A 26659-nucleotide genomic window follows, 5' to 3' on the forward strand; every position below is an offset into this window, starting at 1 on the left:
CGCTGGGCGCCGCAAAGGCACACAGATGCGAGGGAATCCTGCGGCCTGGATCCTTTGGGGATTTGTAATTCCTCGCTGCTGGTTTTCTCTTTTAAACCATCACGTTTTCTTGCTGAGAGGAAATCATCTGTGATGAAAGTCTTTGTAGATGCTTGGAAACATTGCTGGGCCTCTCTCTGCCCTCTTCCTCTGCCGTTGGACTTTTGCAATAAAAACTACCATTTGATTTTACCAAAAAACGTAATGTACATCCCTCTTACCCCCACCCTGCCGCGGTCTGATTCTTAGAGTCTGTCAGAGAGGAGATACCCTGAGCCTATCATGTGACAATGATACCTTATTGATATGATAATGATATGGGTATTGGAGACACCAACTCTTTTATAAGTCTTTGAAATCCAGGGGGTTGTGAGGCCTCACCCCTCACCCCGCCTGAGCTTGGAGCTTGGCGTGGAGGAGTGCTGCTTCGGTCTACGTGTGTACACGGCACTCCATGTGCCTGTGGTTGTGCTTGCGTCAGCCTGGGAGTGCGCAGGCATCAGTGGTGCTTGGGAGCGAGGCCCCTCAGTCTGCACTGGGATCATCTGCACTGCCTATAAACAAGGCAGCCTCTCTTAGCTCCAGTTTCCTCATCTGCAAAGTAGGAAAGTAGGAATAATAACAGGAGATAACTCATCCAGCAGCACGAAGTGCGTATAAATGTCCCGGCACGGAGTCTGACACATCCTAAGTGCTGGATCCGTGCTGGGCATGTTTATATAATTGCACATGAGACTGTGGTTCCCGGAGCACGTAACTTGAGCATATGTTTATGTGTGTGTATACGGCAGGTCCTGGGTTAAAGGGACAGGAGCCACTGTCATTATTCCAATTCAGTCACTGAGGAGGTGAGGCTGAGAGGCATTCTCATGTCTGAAGAGGATGGGCTTGCCTGACCCCCGCCCCCGTGCCCAGCCCAGCCCAGCAGCCCAAGCAGTTCTCCAGGACTCAGGTTTCAGACCTTCAACACTTGCCTTGGGAGACAAACAGCGGTGCAGCCCTTGCTTGCAAGCCATTCCACATTAGACTTCGGATTGATTTATGGCAGGATCCCTGCTGTGCGAGAACTGCAGGGGGGGTGGGGGGCGGCTATTTCTTGCTGCTAACTCAGGCAGGATGTGTCTATATCCTGTCTCAGTTTATGTAGCTGCTCATCAGAGCCAGAGGTTAGAGCGGAGAGGACCCACTTCCGCCAGGCCGGCCTGCTCTGCTCAGCTCAGCTGGGCTAGGCCCCAATGCCACAGTTACTGCGCGTGAGTCATGCACAGCAATCCATTGCCTTGCCCTTGGATGGAAGGGGTCAAGGCTCAGTGAGAAGACGGCCAGGTTTGGCAGCTTTATATAGAATTCACCGCCTCTGGCAGAAGCAGAGGATTGCATTAAGTGCCAAATGAAATTCCACCTCAGCCATTGCTCAATTCCTCCAGATGTCACTGGCACTGGGAGTCACATGATGCTGGTGGTCAGCAGCTGGACCCTTCCAAGGGTGCCCGTGGTTGGGCAAGTATTTCTGGGGACTTGCAGAGCTCCCTGGGGAGCAAAGGGTTGTGAAGTACAAGGCATTCTGCGCTTGTGGTGGGAACAAGTGAACCCATCTGCAGTGAGTAGGAAGAGGTCCCCTCAACAGAGGTGAGAGGTTGGGCCAAGTCAAGTCAGTTTGCCTCTTCAGGTGGCAGACCTGTATGTACATCTATGCCTCAAGTGCCTGTCTGAGGCCACAGCCAAAACATCTTCCAGTAACTGAGCATACCCAGTGGGCCAACAAGCACGCTCTAAATACAAAACCAAACAAACAGTAAAGTTAACAGTGAATGAAGAGTTAAAAATAGGAGAAAGACACCTTCTCCCTACCTCAATGGCAATTACTTTATTTATTGAGGATAATCCTTCTAGAAGTAAATTTGCTGATACAAATATTTCTTATTTTACATAATAAAAATGCATTTTATATATTTTACTTCATCTTGTTTTTTTTCCATCAGAATATCTCTTAAAGGTTATACCTTGTTATTTTCTTTAATCAGTTCCTCTGCTGATGGGCATTTAGGCTGTATGCAGACTTCATTTAATTTTTTTAAACCACACACAGCAGTCCTGTGACAATGAGTAAGGAGGATTTTACATGCATGTGTCTGTAAACTGTTAGGATAAATTCTCCCACCTCAGCATTTGATTTCTGGGACAAAGTGTGTATTCATTTAAAATGTTAGTAGATCTTAAGAAACTACCCTCCTAAAGGTCACACCGGTTTCTCATGCTCACAAATAGCCTATGAAAGTCACTATTTCCCTGCGTCCTCACTCACACTGCATTTTTTATCTTGGCCAAACTGAGAGGTAAAACAACAAAACAAACGCTGTCACTTTGGAATGAGCCTCTGTAATTAAGTGAGACTGAGCATGTTTTCTTACTTCCATAAGAGGTTGTATTACTTTTCGGGGAAGTGTCGGTTGATGCTTTTGTCCATTTCCTGTCAGCACCCCACCCCCGTGAGGAAACGTGCCCCAGAAGTGAAAGGACATGTCCTCATCACATGACGAGTGAGGGGCAGAGCAGAGGCCAGAGCAACATCCGTGCTGTGGAGTCAGCCCTGGGTTTGACTGCCCTCCAATGTTCACCAGCTTTGGGAGAGAGAGGAAATACCTCAGCACCTCAGTTTTCCCATCTGTGAGTGGGAATGATAACAGCCACTTCCCCAGAGTCACCCGAAGAGCAACAGCAGAAGGGCCTGGACCTGCTCCCAGTGGCAGAGGCTTGGGAGGTGGCTTTTGTTAGCGAAATTTATTGGAGCAAACCTGGCCTGAGGATGCTGGTAATTTCAGGAGTCACCCTCCAGACAGCTGTTGTTTTTCGCTTTTGATAAAATAACAACAAACTTAGATGCCGAGCCCTGGTAAGGGGCTTTCCTGGGTCTCCCCTGCACACCTGCTATGATAGGCATTTTCTTTTCTTTTTCTTTCTTTTCTTTTTTTTTTTTTTTTTGAGACAGAGTCTCGTGCTCTGTCACTCTGGCTGGAGTGCAGTGGTGTGATCTCAGGTCATTGCACCCTCCACCTCCTCCACCTCCTGCGTTGAAGAGATTCTCTGCCTCAACCTCCCAAGTAGCTAGGACTACCGGCATACGCCACCACACCCAGCTAATTTTTGTATTTTTTGTAGAGACTTTCGGATGAAACACCAGAGGCTCGGGGGAGATAAGCCGCCATAGGGCACCCAGACACTGAGGGCGCAGCCAGGCTGTAGTTACAAACTGCCAGACCCCACAGGCAACTGAGGCCAACCCAAGGAGAGAGTTGCAGGGTATGTGGGCCCACAGCTTGTATGTGCCAGGCAGGGCCTGCTGCTGTGGCTCTGCACACTGAGGAACTGCATGCACAGACACTCAGGACCCGCCTGCCTCCCCCAGCTCCTCAGCCGGGCCTGTGTCCCACCCCAGTCCACCGTTGTGTCCATGCTGTGCTTTCTGTGGTCAGGCCTGGCATGCTCTGGGCTGCTGCTGCCCTTGCCCGCCTTAGCAGCTGGCTCGGGGTGGCCCTCGAGCCCTCCCTCACGCACCGTCCCAGGCTTGCTGCCTTTCCAGCTGCACCTCTCACAACTGTTCACGACAGGCCCCTCAACACGCCGCGGGCCTGGCACACACTCACCTGCTGGTCTGCTAGGACCCAGTTTCCCAAGCCTAGAAAACGACCCACCACAGCCTTGGGCACAGTTTGCAGCCCTGACAGATTCCTGAGTCTGCCTTTTCCCAGAATTCTGACCTCTCCAGGGGCTCTGTGACCCCGCCTGTCCCCCACTCAGGGCCTGTCACAGACAGGGGTTTGCTGAGCCACTTTGAGGCAGGTGGATGATTGCAGGGATGACCCAAGGCCCACGCTCCCAGGACTGCCACCATTCCAATACCAAAAGAGCCTTTAAAAAGCCTTCACTCAGGAGCTCCTGGTCCAGAACTTGGCATGGACTTGGAGGCCAGTAAATACTAAGTTGAAATGGACAGGAGTCAACCCCAAACAAATTCTAAAGGCACAGTTGTTGGGCCCCAGGAATCCCACCTAGTCCTTCCCACCTTCTCACCCAGCTGGGGTTCATTTTCATATCCACTCCCTTCCCCTACCCCACCTCCCTCTCATCTTGGCCTGGGGTTTTCTTCAGATCCTTACATAATCGGAACTTCTGACAGAATGCTGGCTCCTCTCCTTAGACTATACATTTTCATTTTTCTACATTCTTCCAGAACAATGTTCCTATACAAAATCTTAACCCATGGCAGAAACTGGCAAGAGCCCATTTCCCATGTGCAGGCAGAGCCAGGCCGGCGACACTGGGTTCCTTCTTAGGCAAGGCGAGGGTTGGGTGGACCCTGGCATGACTTCTCCAGCCCCTGGAGAGCCTCTGCAGTTCTGACCCCTTCACAAGTGAGCCCTGGGCTTGGTGAGGGGTGCCTGCCTCGCCTGGCATCCCCCAGCTGTAGATGGGGGCAGAGCAAGACTTGCTGCCAACCTGCCTGGCTCTGTGGTCCCTGCTCCCTCTCCCGTTCTGCTGGCGTCACCACCCCTCCTTCAGAACTCTCTATGGAATTGCATTCTAGTCTCTCCTGCTTCTGCTTATGCATGTGAAAGCCAGATGCCCCTTCTCTCTCTCTCTTTTTTTTTTTTTTGATACGGAGTTTTGCTCTTGTTGCCCAGGCTGGAGTGCAATGGCGCAATCTTGGCTCACTGCAACCTGCGTCTCCTGGGTTCATGCAATTCTCCTGCCTCAGCCTGCCGAGTAGCTGGGATTACAGGCGTGCACCACCATGCCTGGCTAATTTTGTATTTTTAGTATAGACAGGGTTTCTCCATGTTGGTCAGGCTGGTCTCGAACTCCTGACCTCAGGTGATCCACCCTCCTTGGCCTCCCAAAGTGCTGGGATTGATTACAGGCATGAGCCACTGTGCCCAGCCTACCAGATGCCCCTTCTCTTATTGCCAAAACACTGTGGTCACACACTGCTTGGGGCCCAGCAGGCACAACAGTGACCTCTTTCCAGGGCTCAGGGGAGGAAGCTCCGCTTCGGGGCATGTAGAGCCAGCCCTGGGCAGGGTGGCCTTGGTTATCTCCCTGCACCCCTGGCACACCCTGATGGCTCTGTTTATCTGCACTTTGCACATGATGGTCTTGACTGACACATCCTCGCAGAGAGCCACTGCCAGGGCGCCTCACACCCGCTGCTCCCACACGCAGTGGGCATTTTTACGAGGGGCTCAGGCACAGGGTCTCCAGCTGACCCAGCCCAGCACTGCCACTCTTCCTCCTTGAACTCTGGCATGGAGAATCTTCACATTTTGTCAGCAGCCGATGAGCACATGTATTCTCAGCACAGTCTTAAAAGGGGGGAAATTATGGGTTGCCAGATCAAAACCTGATAAAACAATGATGCCTCTGGTGTGGGGCCCAGCCAAGCCCTTCTCCTGTATTCACCGGGCAACAGGGGCCCATTGGATATGAAATCCACTTTCGCTTGAGAAACTCATCCAGTGCTCTTGCTGAAACCTACACACAGGCCTTAGCAATGCTTGAAGCTTCAAGTTCAGGTTCCCCTTCTGTATTTTTTCTTAAACCTTTAGCTCAAATAGACTTTGTGTCAATTTGCTAGTGATAAAGGGTTAGCTTTGAAATCTGAGGATGAGGTTTTGGGTCTGGATCCACTATGAGCTGGCTGTGACCTGGGACAAGTTGCTGGTCCATCGTCTGGCACAGGGATGGCTTCACAGGGATGGGACCTGCCCAGCAGGGTCCCGCACTTCCTAGGTTTAATGCTCTGTCACTGCTATCTTCAAATTCTTCTCTTTTGAATAAGAGGCCTCATGTTTTTATTTTGCACTGGGCTCTGCAAATTCTACGGCTAGTCCTGAACCTGTCAATGGAGCTAATAACAGTCTCTACCTCAGGGCTTTGTTCGGAGGATTCAGTGCATTCTCACAGATAAACATCCTAGTGTAGTGCCTGGTATGTGCTCATAATTGTGCTTAATTGCTTCCGCTCACTGAGTGTGTGCGTGTGTGCTTAAACGCCAGCTTCCTCCCCACTGCCCTGCTCCCTCCTTGCTCTCCAGACTCCTCAGATGTTTGCCCCTTTGCCACTGAAAGTCATACCCAATGACAGGGGGCCATCTGCATCTGTGTGGTCCCACAGAGACCAGGGAAAGGCCCTCTCGCTCCCGATGCTGCTCCTTCATGGTTTTTATTGTTTTTGTTTTTCTTTTGAGATGGAATCTTGTTCTGTCCCCAGGCTGGAGTGCAGTGACATGATCTTGGCTCACTGCAACCTCCGACTCCCTGGTTCAAGCAATTCTCCTGCCTCAGCCTCCCGAGTTGCTGGGATTACAGACATGTGCCACCACGCCCAGCTAATTTTTGTATTTTTAGTAGAGATGTGGTTTCACCTTGTTGGCCAGGATTGTCTCAATCTCCTGACCTCCTGATCTGCCCACCTTGGCCTCCCAAAGTGCTGGGATTATAGGCATGAGCCACCACGCCCAGCCTCCTTCATGTTTTTATCCAAGAGTCAGCACTGCGGTGGAGACAGCCCAGAAAACACACGCAGGCCCTGCTCTTGGCCACGCACGCCAGCTGTGTGATGGGGAGCAAGCCTCTTACCTTCCGGAGCTCCATTTCCTCACATCACCCTGGAGAGAGGTCATCTTTGCCCCCACCTCATCGGGGCACCAGCCCCTCAACCACTCATACCTGGGCCATCTGGTTCTCCATGGAGAAGAGTAGGCTCTTTGAAAGCACCGTATGAGTGAAGGAATGAGTGAATGAGTCAGCAAACGGATGGAGGGATGTGAAGGTCCATCCATGTAGGCAAACAAGGTCTGCAAAGAGTGCCCTGGGCCCCAGCATTCACTGCACCCTCTCCCTGCCCTGGGCAAGGCCCTGACCCTGGTGCACTCTAAGCTCCTCTCAGCTCAGCCCCTGACCTCTCCCCTGTCTGCCAGTGCCCCTCCCCTGAGTGTGAAGCCGGGGGCCTCCTTCCCTCGGCTCACCTGGCCCTCATGCGCTCTACCTTTCAATGTCTTCTTTAGGCAGTCATTTCTCCTTTTTCCTTCATGCTCCCCTTTGAATGGGCTTGGAGCTGGGTCTCTCTAAGGTTCTGGTCTCTCTCTCTCTCTCTCTCTCTCTCTCTCTCTCTCTCTCTCTCTCTCTCTGGAGAAAGCTCCTTCTCAGCCTTTTCCAGCTTTTCCAGGTCCCAAACTCCTGGGAGGGGAGCCAGGCCTTGCTTGATCATGCCCTGGATGGATTTGTCATATTAATCCCTTTCCTTCAACTTCGGCAAAACTTCTCATTTTAGCGAAATTAATTTCAGTTATGGTTGAAAATCCTGAGTATTCCCTTTTTAAAAAATTTTCATAGTCTTTTTTTTTTCTTTGTCACTGATTCTTTACACTATCCTGAGCCATCCTCCTCATCTGGTGACAGTAGCCCTGTCTCAGAGAGTAGAGATGAGGCTCCACTCCACAGACGCCATCTCATTTAGCCCTCTGGCAGCCCCAGGGAGGTATTTTTATCTCCATTTTGCATGTGATGATACCGAAACTAGCAAGTGGATGTGACTTCCAGAGAACCTACCAGCCCCTCACACCTCCTTCTCTTCCCCCTCTACATTGAAAGCTCAGCCAGGGCCTGACCCCAGACGCAGTGCTCAGAGACCACAGTGCTTCTAGAGGCCCACAACAGTATTAGAGCTTCTTTTAAAATCAGAAGGAAGGAAATGAACCTCTAAGATCAAATAGTACATTTGCCTTTATACCAGTGCAGCTATACAATATGATTTCTAATATTTGGGAGGAGAAGGGACCCATAAGGTAAAGCACCTTGGCCCATGGAAGTCACCCTGTGACCTGAGCTCAGCCCATTGGAGGTTGAGGGGCTGAAGCCCACTGCCTCTGCTCTCCCTGCCTGAATCTGCCCCTTGCTCCCAGGGCTCTGATCCTCCTCTACGTTGGCAGTCCTGGTTCCTTAGCAGTTCTGTCTGTCACGGGAGGACTCCCTGGGCTGGGCATCTGCAGGGGCAGCCTCTACCTCTCCCTGTGGGACTTCACTAACACAGCTGGAGTAGATGCTAGGGAGGCTCAGGTCATGCACTACTTGCTGTCTTTCTCTCTCTCTCTCTCTCTCTCTCTCTGTGTCTCTCTCATTTTCTGTCTCTATCTTTCTCTTACTCTTTTGGCCTTTTAAGTCAGAAGAATAGGCTACTCTTCACTTACAAGTTTAAAAATAAGTTGTCTTTGCCCTATTTCATTATTGCAGAAGCAATTCATGTTCATTGTAGAATTGTAGGAACAAGATCAAGAGGAAGGATGTAGGAAGAATCTCTATGGGGAAGAGGGTGACTTTGAGATACAATCTCTTGCCCTGATCTGAGCTTTCAGTTACCTAAGGTACAGTACAGTAAGATACTGAGAGAGAGAGAGAGACTAGTTCATATAACTTTTATAGAGTACGTTGTTACAATTGTTTTACTTCATTATTCATTGTTGTTAATATCTTACTGTGTCTAATTTATAAAATAAACTTTATCATAGTTATTCGCATATAGGAAAACTATCATGTATGTAAGGTTCAGTCGTATCTCTGGTTTCAGGCATCCGCTGGGGGTCTTGGAAAGCATCCCCCATAGGTAAGGGGGAACCACCGATTCATGGGACAGATAGATGATCACCCAGTGGCAGCTCGAAGGGAGATTAGGGCACAGATAAGGCTGGAGGACATCAGTGTAAAGAGGCCACCCTGTGAGGGGCCCAGAAGGGAGCCCTGGAGACCCTCTGGGTGCATTGATCACCTCAGATGGGGGCCCAAGGGATGCCGACGCAGGGCAAAGCACTACAGCAGACTCGGCACAGGTGCCTGGGGCTGTGCACGCCCTGGCAAGCGCCCACTCTGCCCTGCTCCGCACCTAGTGAGGACGTGTAACACACACAGTGCCTCCTTTAATGCTGAAGGCATCACACAGATGCAGATATTATTAATTCCAGTTTAGGAAGACAAAAAGTGAGGCTCAAAGAGGTGATTTCCCCAGTGCTTCCCTGTGCATCACTGACACGCTCTCTCCTGGAAGCCAGGTGTGTCTTCCTCCAGCTCTGGGACTCTGCAGCCTGCCCTGCTGGGAGGGGGCTGCCCATGACCCCTTGCCCTTCTGCTCAGATCGTTACAGCCCTGAGGTCGCTCTCCTGGCCTCTGAAGAAAAGGCCTTTCTTTGTTCCCCCCACACCCGGAACCACTTGTGTTCCCTCTGCCGTCCTCCGCAGGCACCCACCTGTGTCCCAGCAGCTGCGAATGCAGTGCTCAGAGTGGTACACAAGGGCTGGGTTGTGACAGTCCTGCCAGCCCAGGCCAACCCACTCTTCCCCCGGGGAAGGAGTGGGCAGCTGCCTCCCAAGGTCACTACAGGGGCACTGGGAGAGAATAATGCCCCCACCAACTCCTGGCCAATTCCTGGAATGCCTCCACCGTGGAACCACCCCTGGGCTGGCAACTTTATTCTGTGTTAAAGTACAACAAGCCAGCCGGAGGATCATTGTCACTGCATGACTGCAATTTCTGTTACACTTTGCTAGGCACTTTCAAATCTGTTTCCACTCTTCATTCGAGACATACTAGTCTCCCTCTTTTGCAGGTAAATAAAGCAGACCTCAGGAAAGTTCAGTGACTTGGCAGAATTTACACAACCAGGTTGCAATAGAGGAGCCAGACTGGACCAGTCCTCGGTCCCTGTCTCCTTTGTGAGTGTACTGTTCAGGCCACTGAAACTCATTCATCATTCTTAAGTGGGAGGGGCTGAGGCTGAAGAGTCATTGCAAGTAAGAAACTGTGATGCTGGCCTTCCATTCTCCTGCCCCCCTCCCCTCCCTCCCTACACACACACACACACACACACACACACACACACACACACACACACACATATGCACGCACACACACAAGCACACACACATTTCTTCCTACACACCATCTCCTTGCGTTTCTTAGCAGCAGACAGGTATCAGCCCCAGACCTGAGGCAGACACTTGGGGATCTGGTTCGGGACAGGGCAGACAGGCATTTGGTGCATGGATCCTACTGACCTCCCAGAGATAACTAGAAACAAATGTAAGAACTGCTGCCTACAACATCTTTTGGCCTTGGGTGTTAGGTGCCACATGCTTTTGAAACTTTTTCTACTCCACTATTTTTAGGACTCTGTTCCCACTTCTTTGCTCAGTGTAGAGCATCTGCCATGTAGAATATCTCCTCATAGCCTCTTCTGTCTGCTTGTCACTCAAGGTCATTGTAGCCATCAGACCCCACCTAGCAGACAGAGGATTTAGAGACAGAGGATTTAGAGATACGTGGATTTAGAGAATTCAGCAAGGCTGTTTTGCTTATTTTTGGTTTGGGTTCAGCACTAAGTCTCCCATACCCTTCTGCAATGAATCCCTCTGGAGTGTATCAGTAAAGAAAACAGAAACAACCTTCCCCAATCATACCCCAGCAGTTAAATATTTGGGTCAGTTTCCAGACATGACTCCTACATGCATTGCCTATCACATGATCTGGATATCTTTTTTTTTTCTTTTTTTTTTTTTTGGAGATGGAGTCTCGCTCTTGTTGCACAGGCTGGGGTGCAGTGGCATGATATCGGCTCACCACAACCTCTTCCTCCCAGGTTCAAGCAATTCTCCTGCCTTAGCCTCCCGAGTAGCTGGGATTACAGGCATGCACCACCACGCCTGGCTAATTTTATATTTTTAGTAGAGACGGGGTTTCTCCATGTTGGTCAGGCTGGTCTCAAACTCCCGACCTCAGGTGATCCGCCCGCCTTGGCCTCCCAAAGTGCTGGGATTACAGGCATGAGCCACCACGCCTGGCCTGTGGAGTCCTTTTCTAAGTTCCAAGTCTGCAGGGACCTCTTGTGTAGCAGGTGACCTGAGCCCTGAGCCTTGAACTTTTCATCCACTTATAGTGAATACAGTCAAGAGCCCCACCATTCAGATCATCCCAGTCCAATCTGATGCATTTGATTTTAATCCAGGGAGTCCCTACTGCATGCAAGGTGCTGCACAGGAGACATAAAGGGACAAAGACCATATCTTCAAAGGGGCTTCAGCCTAGTAAGGAAGGGGAGATCCAGGAGCATCAGAAAACAGAATAAGTCAAAAAGCTGATTAGAGACACGTGGCCCAGCAGACTGCTTGCTGCACCTGGCTCAGACACAGGTAACAGTGCCAGGCTGCTTTGAGATTAAGGCCACATCTTCCTGAACTTTCAAAAGAAGGGGTTCTTCACCTGGGATCCCCACCCTAAAAGTCACACACACACAAAAGAGCGTCACAACTACAAATCTCTGTTGCAGTATTTTTGTTTTTGACTTTTTTTGCAGCAGTGGCAATTTTATAAAATTAATTCTTAGATGAAGTCTAGAAATACATAAGAGATAAAAGTCCATCTGACCCATTTGAGTAAGGAATAAGGCCTGGTGGCCACACCCCCAGGGCCCCTTGTGATGGCTCACTCCCGAGACAAGTTTGAGATCTCCTGCCTGGTGCCTTCCAGAGCCAGAGCAGTTAACTGATGCTCGGTCACTGTTTGCTCTCAGGGAGGACACTTTGAGGCCTGGATCTCAGATGATCCCTCCATAGCAGACGTCTCTACCCCATGCAGTTGTGAAATGCTCTCATTGTGGTTAAATATTTGCCTACAGCCAACTACAATGCACACACAGCTGTTTATCACTTTACCAATTAGTTCCATGAGAAAAATGCTATCAAACTTCAGAAGGTTTACGCTCAAACTCCAGGAAGAAATCTGAAATGTTAAAAAAGAGACTGGATACAAAATTGGATTGCGAGAGCAATTCATCCGCAAGCAATTACTAATCACTTTAGACATCCCTGGTTCCACCATCATTGGAAACACTTGGCGTTATGGTGGTTCTCCCCTGCCGTCAGTCCTCAGAATTGAGAGGGGACAAAGGTGTGAGATGAGATGGCTGCCCTCAAAGCCTTGTTGGGCTTCTTGGGACAGCAAGGTTCACATCATGACAGGAATAAAAAGCATCCAGTCTTCCTGGTGAGAAATTTCTTATCACACGAATTCAGGTTTCGGATCGAATTGCCTATGACTTACTGCGATTAGTTGCTGAACTGGCTCAATAGCTATGTAGCTACTTAGAGAATAACTTCAAGGAGTATAATTCCCCCAACGTAAATGGGTGCTTTTCTAGCTAATAGGAAATTATAGTAAATTTTGACCTAGTTAGACATAGTCGCAGCTTGTTGAATTAAAATCCTGTGCTTGAAGAGACAGGTTGTTGGTGATCAATGCTGACTGCTGAGGATGCTCTAACTCTGGAGAATGAATTGGTAAAGACAAGTTGCAGGGATACGAAGCAGGAAGAACAGTGCTGATGTCCAGAGCTCACTACGTGCGCAGTGTTGCCTGGCGACATTTGTCCCTGGTCATCATCCTGTGCTGCGAGTGGATGCTCCAGGCCATGCCCCCTCCTCAGGGTACAGGACATGTCTGTGAGTGTCAGGGCTGTGATTCAAGCCCAGGGGTTCCAACCCCTAGTCTATCTCTTAATCCCTGCACGGCACCACCCCTCCCTCATATGTGCGGAAACTGGGGAGTTTCAAGGAAGAACAGAGTATCCTCTCCCAAAAGGAGGGAGAGAAAGTTGGTTCAAGCAGGCTGTCGAGTACATTGATTTATATCAGGCCTTGGTAATTCGCCCTGGGTCATTTCTTATTTCAGAATCCTGGAGCCTCTGAAAAACCCTTTTGGGACAGGATATTTTTAAACAATTTATTTGAGCGAAATGAAGCTTGTCACTCACTGAGAAAACTAACAATGCTAGAGGAAGTCAAAATGCCTCTTTCAGGACGTGGCGGTCACAGGAGGATGAAATCCACGGTGTTCCTTCGAAGTTCCGATGAGCTAGTGTTTCCCGCTCATGGGCACTTCTGAGCCTTATTATTATTATTTCCTGGAGGCTTTTGTCCTCTGCCTAACTCTCTTCATGGTCCTAATCTCTTCTGTTTCCAGGGTGGTGCTTTTGGTAAAAGCCTTCTCTGAGGTTGCAACATCCCAGAGGCACAATTATCTGAGTTTCTGGCCACATCTCGTCTTCCTCGGCCCAGGGCTGTGGGAACAGAGGCTGAACTGTCTGGAGGATGAAAGGATGAAAGGCTGGCCTCTCACTGCCCTGCCTCCTGCCCTGAGAGCCCCAGTGGTTCTCAAAGACGGTTCTCCTTTGAATTCCCTGCGTGTGAGGCCCTCCCCAAGGAAAAACAAGTTCTCTCTGCTCCAGTTCATGATGTCTCCTTCTGAGACCGCAGCTCCCACTCAGGGAGGCTTGTGCTGCAGCACGCCACTGCCCAGAGCTGCTCTAGCCTCACTGGACCAAGCCTTAAGTTTAGCCAGGACTCACTTGCTGGGGCCCTTCTGGGACACCCCGATTCCACCCTGGGGCTCAGGATTGCCTGGAGAAGTCTCACTGTGCAGCGCCTCTCCAACCAGTGCACTCACAGAGGGGCACAAAGAGCCCAGCAGGCCACCCACCTCACCTCCCCATTGCTGTCTCGGCCCTGCCATGAGCCAGTGAGGGTGGCCTTGGGGTACTGGTTTCACCCCCTTTGGCCTCTGCTTCCCCAGCAATGCCTGTGTCCTCACAGGCACTTCTGTAATCCCTAGAAGGGACTGAGGCAGCAGGGATGTGCCTGCGCTCTGACAAGAAGCAGGATATCGCATGGGTCACAGGCTTCGAGGGGGCCAGGCTGGGCTACAGGCACAGCTCAGCCTCTTGGTGGCTTAGTCCCCACAGGCACCTTGCGTGAGAGGCTGTGGATGAAGTCCCAGACCTAGCACGGGGCACACACTCAGTAAATGTTAACCAGGGAGGGACCAGAAAGACTCAGAGACAGGGAGACTTCAACAGGAGGGCTGCAAACTGAGACCCACTGCCAAATCCAGCTGCCCCCTATCTGCACACTTGAAGCTTTCTTGGGGCCCAACAGCACCTATCATTTACGGAGTGTCATGTGCTGCTTCCCTGCTACAATAGCAGCATTGAATCTTTGCCATAGAGACCGGTGGCCCCCAAGCCTAAACTATTTACTGTCCAGCCCTTTATAGACTCCTGACTTTAACCAACAGGAGACTCTCTGATGGCACAACTTCTAGGCCTGGGCCCACCTGACCCCATTGCACCTCAACCCCGTGAGTGGATGGGAAGCCATGGAAGAAAAATCCACCCTGAGGTCAGGGAGCAGGCAGCAGCCAGGGAGGCCCACTAACCTGGGCCCACGAGAAGAGCATCAGTTCCCGTTCCCTGACCTTCCACTGCCCAGGCTGCTAGCGGGTAGGAGGGGCTCTTGTAGTCTTCCCCTCTCTCCTGCCCTCCTCCTACCTCCTCTGGAAATACAGGCACTCGGGGCTTTGCCTCTGCCCTGCAGAAAATCCCCACCTCACTGGGCAGGTGCCGGAGGGAGAGCCAGAGCAGGTGCAAGCATGCGAGGCAGGCTTCCCTGAGCCCGACAGCCAGGGACAACCAGCTAACACCCAAGTTCAGAAAACAGTGCTTTATCACAGGCACGAGCACAGGGGAGCAACCTCTCCACGCACGGGGCCAGGTGTCAGCTGTGCACTTGCATGCTTCCTTATTGGAACCTCTCCCTACCGGGAGGCCATCATTAGATTTGGAGATGGAGCCTCGGGGGTCAATGTGTGTCCGTATTCTTCCAGTCATAACCTGGTAGCTCCAGAGCTCAACCGTGGTCTCCTGGAGTCCACACTTCTGCTGACTGCCCTAGCACACACGTGGCCTGGGAGCTCAGATTCCACAAATGGTCACTGAGCACCAGCTGTGTGTCAGGCCCAGGCCAAAGCCCTGGGAATAAGACAGTGAACAAACCAGCAGGAATCCCAAGAGGACCTCACACTTTGGCGAGGTGGACACATGGGTAGGATGCCCAGTACATCAGATGGCACTAAGGGCTGGGTGGCCAGTGAAGCCGGGAAGGGAGATGGAAGGTGAGGAGTGAGGGGGTGCCATCTTATAGGGTGGCCATAGAAGGCTTCACTAAGGGTGGCAATGTTTGAGAAAGCCCTGAAAAAAGTGAGTGATCCAGACATGGGGCCATCTGAGAGAAGCATGACAGGCAGAGAGCACAGCAAGTGCAAGGGTCCTGAGGCAGGTGCAGGCCTGGTCTGACCAAGACACATCCAGGGCCAGGTGGCTGGGGGATGAGGGAGGGAAAAGGTAACTGAGAGATGCAGGTGGACAGGTGAGGTGGTAGAGAGATGAGGGGACCACCTCCCGGCACCTGTTACAGCATCCAGAATTCCACCATCCCCTCTAAGTCTTGGAGCCTTCAAGGCCCCTCCAGAAGGCTCATGACTCTGAGGAGGTGCCCTTCTGCATCTCACCTTAGCCCTAACAAGAGACTGAGAGGAAGGCCCGGGCAACCTGTGACATGCGGTGGGAGCTGGGAAGGAGGAAGAGAATAGTGAGCCCTCCTGCAGTCCCTGAAATGGGGGGCTTCACACAGTGCCCAATTTGCACATTCACCTGCACACACACAAACACACACATACACGCATACACACACAAACACACAGAGGCCAGCTTTCAGAGCCTGTCTGAAATTGTCAGATGTATCTTTCGGGTGCCTGGCCCTGCAGGGAATGAGTGTGAGTGTGGGTCCCCTGTCCCCTCAGCACCTGCAGTCCACAGAGCACACAGGACCCTTAGGGAGCAGGGAGAATGTGCATGGACCCCTCAACCGCAGCTCTGGGTCAGTGCGAGCCCTGGAGGCATCAGCCTCAGAGAGAGCACAGAGCAGCAACCTTCTCCCCTCAGGGTGGAGGGGCTGGCCCAGCAGTGGACAGAGAACAGAACTGTGAAAGGAGGTGGATAAGGGAGGTCTCGACCTGATGCTTCTAGGTCCAAGCTGCCACCTAACCTGGGGGAGGAAGGCCAGGAACCACACTCAGCCCCACCCACACTTCCCTGGCACAATGAAAGCACAGCCCATATACATAGCCTCCTTCTCCTCTCTGAAATCAGAGAGGCAGAGAGAACAGCTCGGCCTCACACAGCTCAGGCTAGAACCCAGTATTCCACCACCTCAGTCTTATCCTCACCCATGTCAGAGGTACAGACTAATGTAACTCACCCAGAAGGCAAGTCACACTCGAGGTCAGGATCCTAATACCCAGAAGGGTATTGGGAGACCCAGAAGGGTATTGGGAGGTACTTTTCATCTGCTTGATGTGATGAACGGTCCAGGGAGGGCAAGTGAGCGAAGCCCTCCAACCCAAGCACAAGGGCTCTTTCTGTGCTCTTTCTGTGTGCCTCCTGTCCTAAGTAATATGATGCCAGGACAAGAATCCAGTTGCTCCGGAAGAGACTGACTCCTGATTCCTGCGCTTCTCATCTTCACCTAACATCTTGGAAGTTGGCCCCCGGGCATCTGTCTGTACTTGGAATCGCTCATGCACACCAAAACACATTCACATTTCTTATCCCTCTGTCCTCACCACAGCCTGGGACAGTGGCAGGGTGGGGGTGGAGAAGGTGATCACGTTCACTGAGCCCTCCGTGTGCCAGTCGAGCTGCCAGTGTGCTCTCGGGAGGAGAGTGTCATTATGCCCTTGTTTAAAAGACAAGGTCTGGGGTCCTAACACAACTTGGTATCCTGAGTGTTCCTAAATAAATGGGATTGGAAAGGTGTGAAATAACAATCCTAAAGCCACACCAATAGCAAATGGCGGAGCCACGACTAGAATTCAGGTGTTTTCCACAACCTCTGTCCCCCACAGATTCCTGGGCAGGCAGACCGTGCCAACTCCTCTTCTCAGTTCAACCAGGTGCTTTAGGTACCATAATTTTAAGTGGACAAATGGTTTCATGCTTAAACACTGCCAGATCCTCTCCATGAGATGCACATGTGTACACACATACATGCACACACACTCACACACACACATGCACATGGGCACAGGCACACTGTTGGGAGACTTAAATGACACCTCTTAAATCCAGGAGGATCAGCCTCTTGGATTTAAGCTCGAGTCTCTGCTGAGCTTGGACCCTATGCGACCTGAGGGCTCCCAAGTCCTTCCAGAGCAGGACTGTGGTGCCTTGTCCTAAGAGACCCTGTCTCTGAATAGAAAGTAAGACACCCGCCTCCTGTCAGCAACATCAGGACACAAAGCCCGGACTCACAGGCAGGCTGTATGTGGCTGTGTCTGAGTGTGCCTGGGCATTGTATTATAATATTTCTTCCAAGGGCCTTCTTTCCATCCTCTTATTCAAGCAGATGGAAATGGCTCCTCCACCCAGGCCTGCCTCTGATAAGCCTCCGAGCGGGAGAAGCAGAACTGAGCCTCTTATCAGTCAGCTGCAGGGGTACCTGGTGGGCCTGTGCTGGGTGGCCTGGTGTTGATAAAATGGGCTTGGGCCAGCCGCTCACCAGCTTCTCCCTCAGACCCATCCCCAGGCCCCAACCTCTTAGAAATGGGAGCAGTGAGACCCAGAAAACTTCCTTACTTTCTGAGATACCAAAGCAAGGCAGGCTTCTGGGGGCTATGGGCAACAGGAAGGACCTGATGGGAAACAAGTGGGGGGGGAATACAGGCTCGGCAAGGCCGCGGGTGGAGAAAGGGGCACTAGAGAGGCCCTCGAGCCCTGAATGTGGTGGTGGGAGCTGGTGCCTCCCACAGGTGTGACAGGATTTTGCGTGTGCTGAGAATTCCCTGTGAGGCAGACTCTACTGCTCCCATGTGACGGCACTGAGCCTCAGAGAAGATGGAAGCCTTTTTTTAAGTGTTTTGTTCATTTAAGGTATGATGTGGTGTGGTCGGGTTGGAAGCCAGATCTGCTGGTGCCGAAAGCCCAAGCACCTTGCTCCTTCCTGGGAGCTCTGGCTGGAGGGGTTCACCCCTCCGAATCCCACCCCTGCCACACACACACACCCTGTTTGAGACAGCACATTTTACCTTCAGAAGTTAACTTTTTTCCTCAGCTTCTGTTACTGTTAACCCCCCAACACATTTGGTGAGTTCAAACGGAGGCTGGCATGCAATATTTGGGACATACTTGTATTCAAACAATTTTCATTTTTTATCTGAAAGTCAGATTTCACTGGCTTCCTGTATTGTGTCTGGCAGCTGTGGTAGAAAAGGACCTGAACATGGGTGTTTCTGAAAGGGTCCCAGATGATTCCAAGGTGCAGCCATAGCTGAGTGCCCAGGGTGAGTGGCTCCTGCTGAGCACACCCACCTGCTGCAGCCCTACCAGGCCCCGCCACAAAGCCCAGGGTGGACGGACCCTTCGTCATCAGAAACATCCTCCAAGGGGCTTTCCCAGATTCCCTTCCCATCCTTTGCATCCATCTCGTGGATTCCTCCCACAATGAACAGAAATCTATTTTGTATGTAAATGTAGAATCTGAGACACATCTTAATTTTTAATACTTTACTGTAATTGTGGAAGTGATTCAATAACGGGGCATGTGGAAACATAGAATAATAAATAATTATTCATAACCCTCCTACATCTCCCATCACACTGATGTTCCCTTCATTCGCTTCTACTCACACTCCTGCTTAAACCCCAAATTCTCAGACCGCCAGCCTCTCCTGCAGCTCCTACCTCATACCCAGACCCTTGTCTCTGTCCATCATCCACTCCTGTGAGCCTCTCATTGTGTCATCCTGATTCTTTCTCAGTAGCTTCAAAGTGCTATTCTAAACAATGGGCTCTCCTTTCCATCCCTACCCTGCTTCAAAACTCTAGAGAATCCCCTTCTCTATGACCTCTTCACCTGTCGTGGCTGTTCGTCACTACCCGAGAAAACGCAGACTTCTTAGTCTGATCTTCAGGATCCTTCATTGCCCTTTCCTCACCCAAGCAGGTGAGTAATAAAATTTATTAGTGATATTCACCGTAGTAGTGATGGTGGAAGAAGTAATAAGACAAGGAAAAGAAAAAGAGAAAAATAAGCTAATGATATGTACTGGGTTTAGCCATTTATATTCTTTCATTTTTTCCCACCTAAAACCACAGAGTTTATACTTCCCAAAACAACTCAGAAGTAGTTATGTTAAATGTGTAAAGAAAAATTAATGCATTTGTTTCATTATGAAACCATCTATACTTGAAAATGATACAATTATTTGAAATCTGTACAACCTGGCTTCTTCCAGCTGTGCTGTGAGCCCTCCACACAACCTGGCTTCTCTAGGAGCCTCTAATCCTGATTGAAGAAACAGATCCACCCCTGTAACTGCCTCATGTCTTTTTGGGTAACTGCTTTCACTCTGTTACTTGGTTTGCTTAAGCAAAGGTTTCTTGCCTTTATCAAGGAAATTAGCACACCAGTCTGACAGAAGAGTAGATTGTGTTTGTGCTTACCCTTCTTCTCCTAAAATTAAGTGTTAGCTTTCAAACTTGCTTTTGAAGTGCTAAGAACCCTGATGATAAATGATGAACAAAGCCTCCTGTTTACATTAGAAGCATCAAAACAGCAGGACTGGGCCAATTCACCCATTCCTGTTGATCATTAGACATTAACTGGTTGTCCAACTTCAACCACATCAACTACAAAATCCTGAAGTGAAACAAAGTCTAAGTTAGTTGACTTTTCTTTGATTAGTCTCTAGTGCATTTATCACTTTCTATGAAAGAAGCATCTAATTTAGATGGCAGTTGATTTGTGTCATGGGATTTCTTCTGACAGGAGGCAGAGTTATGTATGTGTTTATGGCTTCTTTGCCTTTAAAAGATTAATGTTGGGCAAATATAAATCACAAGACCTGGATAGGGGGCTGGGAAGATGGAGCAGGAGCTTGCCAGGGTGATGGATTGAGACGTATTTTAGAGGATTTTCATTGCTAGAAAAACACTGGGAAGATGTGGCAGAGGGGTGGTGGGGCAGGGACAGTGAAGAGAGATGGCTTTTTCTCCCTAAGCACAGAGAAAGGACAGGATGGGCACTTGAGCCAGGGCAGGTGGCTTTCTGGCTCTGTTTCAGAAGCAAAATGAAATTGAATTGGTAACTTCCTGAAGCTTCTTTCCTGCCCTGATACCCAGAAGACAGGATTGGAGGACAAAGGAGGGTTCACAGCACAGCTGGAAGTGCTCAAGGTACCCAGCTGCTCCAGGAGATAAAGTACTCCCTGCCTGCCCCAGTCACAGGAACTGGCCCCTGAAGCCAGGCTGCCACACCCTATCTTCCCATAGACCAAGTCTAGGCTTCTGTCCCCTGAGGCTGTGTGTGTGTGTCAGTGTGTGTGCATGTTTGTGTGTGCACCTGTCTGTGCATATGTGGAAAAGTGTGAGAGGAATGTGCATGAGAGTGTGTGTGTGCATGTGTGCCTGTGTGTGCATATGTGGGAGAGTGTGTGTAAGAGTATATGTGTATAAGTGTGTGAGTGCATGTGAGAGTGTGTGAGTGTGTTAGAGTGTGTGAGTGTGTGTGAGAATGTGTGTGATAGTGTGTAAGAAAGAATGTGTGTGTGAGTGTGAGAGAATGAGTAGGAGTGTGAGTGTGTTTATTAGTGTGTTAGAGTGTGTAAGTGTGTGAGAGAATGTGAGAGAGTAGGAGTGTGTGTGTATAAGAGTGTGACAGTGTGTGTGTGAGCACGTGTGAGTCTGAGTGTGTGTATGAGAGTGTGTGTGAGTCTGTGTGTGTGTGAGTCTGTGTGTATGTGAGTGTGTGTATGTGAGTGTATGTGTGTGAGTGTGTGAGTGTGTATGTTCATCCTTAAATATATGAGGACAATAAGAATAGCTCCCATGTGCCGGGCAACACCCCGAGAGCCACACTCAGTGCTGCTTTGTATGTGTTGCCTGCCGTAATCCTTCGCTAGGGATGAGCACACGAGGGTCCGGGAGGGGTGCTTGGAGTTGGGACCCAGAGCACCAGGACTTACTGTCAAATCTCTCTGGCACCAAAACGCATGCTCCCTATGCCACCTATCAGGATGCACCCTTAAAGCACTTTTAAGATGCTTTTTGGAAAGAGCCATTTGTTGGTGTGCATTTGTCTTCACCACTGCCCCAAACATAGCTGTCCAATATTCAGGTGAAAATGTCCCCCATCGGCCGGGTGCAGCGGCTCACGCCTGTAATCCCAGCACTTTGGGAGGCCAAGGTGGGCGGATCACGAGGTCAGGAGATCAAGACCATCCTGGCTAACACGGTGAAACCCCTTCTCTACTAAAAATACAAGAAAATTAGCCGGCCCTGGTGGCACGCACCTGTAATCCCAGCTACTCAGGAGGCTGAGGCAGGAGAATCACTTGAACCCAGGAGGCGGAGCTTGCAGTGAGCCGAGATGGCACCACTGCACTCCAGCCTGGGCCACAGACCAAGACTCCATCTCAAAAAAGGAAAGGAAAGGAAAGAGGAAAGAAAGAAAAGAAAAGAAAGAAAAAAATAAATGCCCCCCTTCTTTCCAACAGGCTTTCAAATGCGAGTCTGACATAAAAGACAGATCACAGCATCACCAACAGCAATGGCTAAGATGTACAGTGTATACACTACCCACAACCTTCACAGGCATCCTTTCCTGCGAGCCTGGTCACCACCCTCTGCTGCAGGCTCCCTCCCCATCCCACTGAGCCTGTGTGCCTCTGGCTCATACAGAGCCAGTGTGCCTCTGGCCGGCCTGAGTAGGGAGAATGCAGTGGCCTTTCCTGAACCCTTGAGTTCTCACGGAGCCCTCTCTGGCTAGGGAGGAGGAGAAGCCTTCTAGGGAATGAGGAGAAGCGGCCCCCTGCATCCTGCTCCTGCACTTTTCCTTCCTTCCAGCATCCTTCACCACTGCATCTCCACCCTTTGTGCCCATAAACTGTGGGTCCTGTTGTCTCTGGGCCACTTTGGCCTCCCCTTCCTCAGCACATCTCCTGGGGAAGCACGGCTATCTGCCTTGGGATGTAGCCACGAACCTCCTCCTTGGAGCCAATCCTCCTGAATGTTTGAACTGAGTTTCCAGGCAGCAGAATGTTCCCTCCTGCCTCCTGCCGCCCCTGCGGTCCTGCCCACTCCCCACACGGGCTCTGCTGCTCCTGCCTGTCAAACCCGGTGGAGGAAGGAGAAAAACACTTTCCACATCCTGTTAACCAACTGATGAGCCTTCTGGAAACCCAATAACAAAGCGTACCTAACTAAATCATCATTATTTACACATGCAGCCCAATCGAGGACATTTAGTCATGTAATTAAGTACCTAATTATGCTGAAAATGCAATTATATGATTTTTTAAATGAATTAAGTCCTCCAGAGAAGTGGTAAAGATTAGCACGCAGCATCTGTCTGGGGAGCAGGTACCTCGAAGGGCACCCAAATGTGACACCAAGCTGCACAGGGGCCAAATGGTCTGAACCCAGATCACATGTGTGAGCACACACGGGCCCACACAGGCTCACATGCAGAGGATGCCAGCTTCACCTCTGTGTCTCCAGGACTCTACAAAGGTCTGGTGCACACCAGGAACTTGATAAATGACAGTCATTAATGTCATTGGAAGCATAGTATACATCTATGGAGTGACTATTGAGCGACTTAGAGAATCTTAGGAAGGTTATTTATCCAGCATCTGAGAGGCAGGTGTGTAGAGAAAGAAAAAAAAATTGAGAGAAGGATCAGCCAGGATATGTCAGAGGATATTTTAAGCAACATCACTCATTCATTCAGATGCTAAAGCAAAAAAACACAGTCAGTGTCTTCTAGGAGCTCAAAAATTAGTGCAGAGTTGGCTGGGCCTGGTGGCTGACACCTGTAATACAAGCGCTTTGGGAGGCCGAGGCGGGTGGATCACCTGAGGTCGGGTGTTTGAGACCAGCCTGACCAACAAGGAGAAACCCCGTCTCTAAAAACACAAAATTTGCCAGGTGTGGTGGTGCATACCTGTAATCTCAACTACTCCGGAGGCTGAGGCAGGAGAATCGCTTCAATCCAGGAGGCGGAGGTTGCAGTGAGCCGAGATCGTGCCACTGCCCTCCAGCCTGGGCAACAAGAGTGAAAAATCCATCTAAAAAAAAATTAATTCAGAGACAGAAAAAGCATCTTAATGGTGATATGAACAGGTTGTTCAGCAAACTACAACTTGTGGGCCAAATGCAACCTGTGGCCTGTTTTTGTACAGTCAGGTAAGCTAACAATGATTTTTACCTCTTTACGGTGTTTCCTCACTTCCATCCCATGCAACTCAGGTTCCGAGGCCATAGTATTAATCACTCACTGTACATGCACAACTCCAGTGGGGGGTCCAGAGTGATCATTGCATCCAGGAGCCAAATCTCATATTTCTTTATAAATATTGAAACAAAACTGTGGAGCCAAATTGTTAATGAAAGAAAGATTCATTATATCTTGGAAAAGGAAGCCAATGATGTGAATAAGGATGAAGAGGTTGAAGATGGTCACAGGAATTGTCAGAGGAGGAGATGGAGAAAGATGAGGCCAAGAGGGGAAACTGAGTCTACACACTTCAGTGTAGGGTTTCCCTCCATGAGCCCAAAATCCAAGGGACAACCCGGAGCCTCCCCTCAAATAATCCTGGCAGCGGACTCTCAATGAGCATAGGAAGTGAGAGGAACCTTTCCAGTGTCTCTAGGAAACCGTTCACACTGGAGACCCCTGAGAGGACAGCTGAGTAACACACCAATAACAAACTCAGGGAGCTCGAGAAGCAAAGTCTGTGGCCAGCGGCCCTGTGATTCCAAATGCCCAGCCTCTGACCTGCTCCCTGAGAGGTCAGAACTTCCCTTCATTTCCACCTGCAGAAGCAAGGGACTGGGGGTGAACCATGGACTGAAGCCACAGCGCACATTTCTCAGTGTGCAATTGCAGCCCAGGGAAAGGGTGAAAGGAGCAGTGGTCACTGAATGTACTGTCTCTTTTCCACAACATGCATGTCTTTCTTGAAAATGAAAATGACTACTTGGAGCATCTCCTAACCAGGTTAGGCAAAGGATGTGTGGACACGAGACTCAGAGGGCCATTCAGAGAGGGTGGTCATGGTCCTACTATCCAACAACAGCCTGACGCCTGCTCACGGGAGACACCGCCAAGCAGGTGCAGGCATCCAGTGGGAACCTGGAGCAAGGCGGGCAGGTCAGGGCGGCGGGAAGGGACCTTAACAGACCTTCTAGTCGGCGACTTTGAAGATTCTTCAAGACAATAGCCAGTTCTGAAGATTCATCCCCGTTTCTTCACTGTAAAAATAACACGTTTTTTGTAGATGACTTGGAAAATACAGACAGCCATATGTTAGAAGTAAACAAAACCACTCCTAACCCGTCTACTTCTTAAAAGCCGGTACTTAACATTTGAAGCGTATTTCTTTTCATCGCTTTGTTTTAAGGTTTTTGTGGAATATTTTTCATCATTTCTATTTAGAGGGTCCCGTTTTCTTCACTTAACATCAATACCCTAAGCATTTCTTCCTGTTGCTAAGTTCACGTGCACCCCTTCCCTAACTGCATAATACTGGGTCATATGGGGGTATCATAATTGACATAACCAATGCCCAAATATGGAACATTTAGATTGCTCTCTCTCTTCAATTTTTCATTTTAGACTGCATTACCATCTACTTTCCCGAGCACGGACTTTTGTTCCTGTTCCAGATTGTTTCTCTAGGATCAATTCCTAGAAGTGGATTGCTTGATTCTCAGGGTGATACATATGCCAAATAGTATACCAGAGTATTGAAGGTACTTGTTTCTAGGAATCCCACTTTGACATATCGACGATGAGAATAATTAATATTCAAATAGCCTGACCTATGTCAGGCACTGTGTACCACAAACTAGCTTACAATGGGGCTACACTGTTGTGCCACCGGGTTTTACATGTGAAGAAACCATGGTTTGCAGTGAGCCAAGATTGCGCCATTGCACTCCAGCCTGGGCAACAGAGCAAAAACTTCATCCAAAAAAAAAAAAAAAAGAAAGAAAGAAAGAAAAGAAAAGAAAGAAAAGCTACATAGCATTCCTCAAAATGGTCTGGCCATGAGTATCGTCACTGAGGGGCCACTCCCTCACCTGTCTGCGCCATGCCTGGCAAGTGTGCTGACTTCACAGCAGGGCGGCCAGATGCCTGGCCCTGAGCCTGGCAGATGGGTGACCCCAGGAGCATGGTGCGCAGGATTGCACACCCTCACCCTCCTCAGGGAGGTGTCTGGGTGGAGCTGGGACTGGAAATAGGTGTGTCCAGGGTGTTCTGCGCTCCAGCCACCTCCGGTGGAGCTTGGAGCTGGCAAGTCAAGCAGATGCTGATTGGGATACACGGGCCTTCCTGGCTCCTCAGAACACCTGCACACAGCCATTTTCTTTGCCATTTTGGTACCCCAAACACCTATTTTTGGAGAAGCATTTCCCTGCTGCCTCACTGGAGCTCAGCTATCCTTAAATCAATCAGCAGTGGTCTGGTAGGTGGATCAGCTGGGAACACATGCTTAATTTCCCAACAACAAGGCCAAGGAGACTGCAGTCTCAGGAGCTATGGAGCAGAAGGGTGTGTGCATGGACCAGACCCCGGCACAAGGGCCCCAAATCCCTGAACCCAGCACCAGGCATGGGGGTAGACAGGGGACACGCAGAAGGAATAGATTCTCCGAGTCCTCCACTGTGCCCGGTCCTCATCTCTGTCAGGGTGGGGTTCTTGAGAGCCTGGTTGCCGCTCACTCTCAGATGGTATCTCCCGCTTCTCCCCTCAGCTTCAGTTCCCTCTTAAGGACTCTGTTCTCCTTCCACTTCCGCTGTGAAGATCCCTCAGCGTGATGAAGATGCAGGGGCAAGTCAGAGGTTACACAGTGGGGGCTGCCCTGCTAGTGTGCTGAAGCCACGCCAACTGTTCAGGGCAGCTTTCTGCTTCCAGGAAGAACACATTGACCTGGCTCCTTTCAACAGTCTGGGCGTTGTCTTAAGCCTGAGCTTCTTCAGTTGCCTGCTGACCCCAGACACCCCCTCCAGTCCCTACCCATCTCCAGCAGCCAGATGCTGACCAAGCCCCAGGAGCTTCCCAGACGTAAGAGCCACTAGAATCGCCTCCTCCCCACTCTTCCTGCCTCTTTCAAATTTGATTTCCCTAGAAATCTTCCGGCAGGGTGTGTCTGCTGGGGGTCAGGCTGGGGGAATTGTGGTTCTGCTTTCCTTCAGTCTATGCCATGAGTAAAGAAGGATATTTGTGAACAGGTGAGATGGCTCATGCCTGTAATCCCAACACTTTGGGAGGCCAAGGCGGGCGGATCATGTGAAGTCAGGAGTTCGAGACCAGCCTGGGCAACATGGCGAAAAACCCATCTCTACTGAAAATACAAAAATTAGCCAGACATGGTGGCAAGTGCCTGTAATCCCAGCTACTCGGGAGGCTGAGGCAGGGAGAATCACTTGAACCTGGGGGGCAGAGGTTGCAGTGAGTCTAGGTCACGCCATTGCACTCCAGCCTGGGCAACAGAGCGAGACTCTGTCTCAAAAAAAAAAGGATATTTGCTGCTTTCCTGATAAACTACAAATGCTGCACCATCCACAGCTGACAAAGTCCTCTCCCCAGTGGTGGACAAGGGCAACTCCACCTTGCTCAGCCAGC

General features: G+C 50.2%; 1 protein-coding gene across 5 annotated transcripts in view, besides 7 other annotated features; it reads left to right on the plus strand.

The window, feature by feature from the left end:
* Window positions 1–26659, plus strand: part of GYPC (glycophorin C (Gerbich blood group)) — a 40510-nt gene that overhangs the window by 619 nt on the left and 13232 nt on the right. The window contains exon 2 of one of the 5 annotated variants that reach the window (XM_047444034.1): window positions 18856–18973. The exons of 3 other annotated variants lie outside the window; for them this stretch is intronic. In XM_047444034.1, coding sequence (XP_047299990.1) covers window positions 18871–18973 — 103 coding nt within the window. In that variant the 5' untranslated portion in view covers window positions 18856–18870. Of the gene's footprint in view, window positions 1–18855; window positions 18974–25787; window positions 26099–26659 lie in introns of all 5 variants that reach the window. One more of the 5 variants, XM_047444035.1, reaches the window with a different exon arrangement.
* Window positions 115–954: an enhancer, noted in NCBI's record as "H3K27ac-H3K4me1 hESC enhancer chr2:127414467-127415306 (GRCh37/hg19 assembly coordinates)". NCBI's record gives its function as "activates a minimal SCP1, AML or CMV promoter by ChIP-STARR-seq in naive H9 embryonic stem cells {active_cell/tissue: H9 hESC(naive)}" and the evidence as "EXISTENCE:reporter gene assay evidence [ECO:0000049][PMID:30033119]".
* Window positions 115–1081: a biological region, named in NCBI's record as "H3K27ac-H3K4me1 hESC enhancer GRCh37_chr2:127414467-127415306".
* Window positions 412–661: an enhancer, noted in NCBI's record as "active region_16478". NCBI's record gives its function as "activates an Ori minimal core promoter by ATAC-STARR-seq in GM12878 lymphoblastoid cells {active_cell/tissue: GM12878}" and the evidence as "EXISTENCE:reporter gene assay evidence [ECO:0000049][PMID:35858748]".
* Window positions 852–1081: an enhancer, noted in NCBI's record as "active region_16479". NCBI's record gives its function as "activates an Ori minimal core promoter by ATAC-STARR-seq in GM12878 lymphoblastoid cells {active_cell/tissue: GM12878}" and the evidence as "EXISTENCE:reporter gene assay evidence [ECO:0000049][PMID:35858748]".
* Window positions 7766–7925: an enhancer, noted in NCBI's record as "active region_16480". NCBI's record gives its function as "activates an Ori minimal core promoter by ATAC-STARR-seq in GM12878 lymphoblastoid cells {active_cell/tissue: GM12878}" and the evidence as "EXISTENCE:reporter gene assay evidence [ECO:0000049][PMID:35858748]".
* Window positions 9850–9899: a silencer, noted in NCBI's record as "silent region_11927". NCBI's record gives its function as "represses an Ori minimal core promoter by ATAC-STARR-seq in GM12878 lymphoblastoid cells {active_cell/tissue: GM12878}" and the evidence as "EXISTENCE:reporter gene assay evidence [ECO:0000049][PMID:35858748]".
* Window positions 13567–14110: an enhancer, noted in NCBI's record as "H3K27ac-H3K4me1 hESC enhancer chr2:127427919-127428462 (GRCh37/hg19 assembly coordinates)". NCBI's record gives its function as "activates a minimal SCP1, AML or CMV promoter by ChIP-STARR-seq in primed H9 embryonic stem cells {active_cell/tissue: H9 hESC(primed)}" and the evidence as "EXISTENCE:reporter gene assay evidence [ECO:0000049][PMID:30033119]".

The sequence above is a fragment of the Homo sapiens genome, chromosome 2 (genome assembly GCF_000001405.40).
Source record: "Homo sapiens chromosome 2, GRCh38.p14 Primary Assembly".
NCBI lineage: Eukaryota > Metazoa > Chordata > Mammalia > Primates > Hominidae > Homo > Homo sapiens.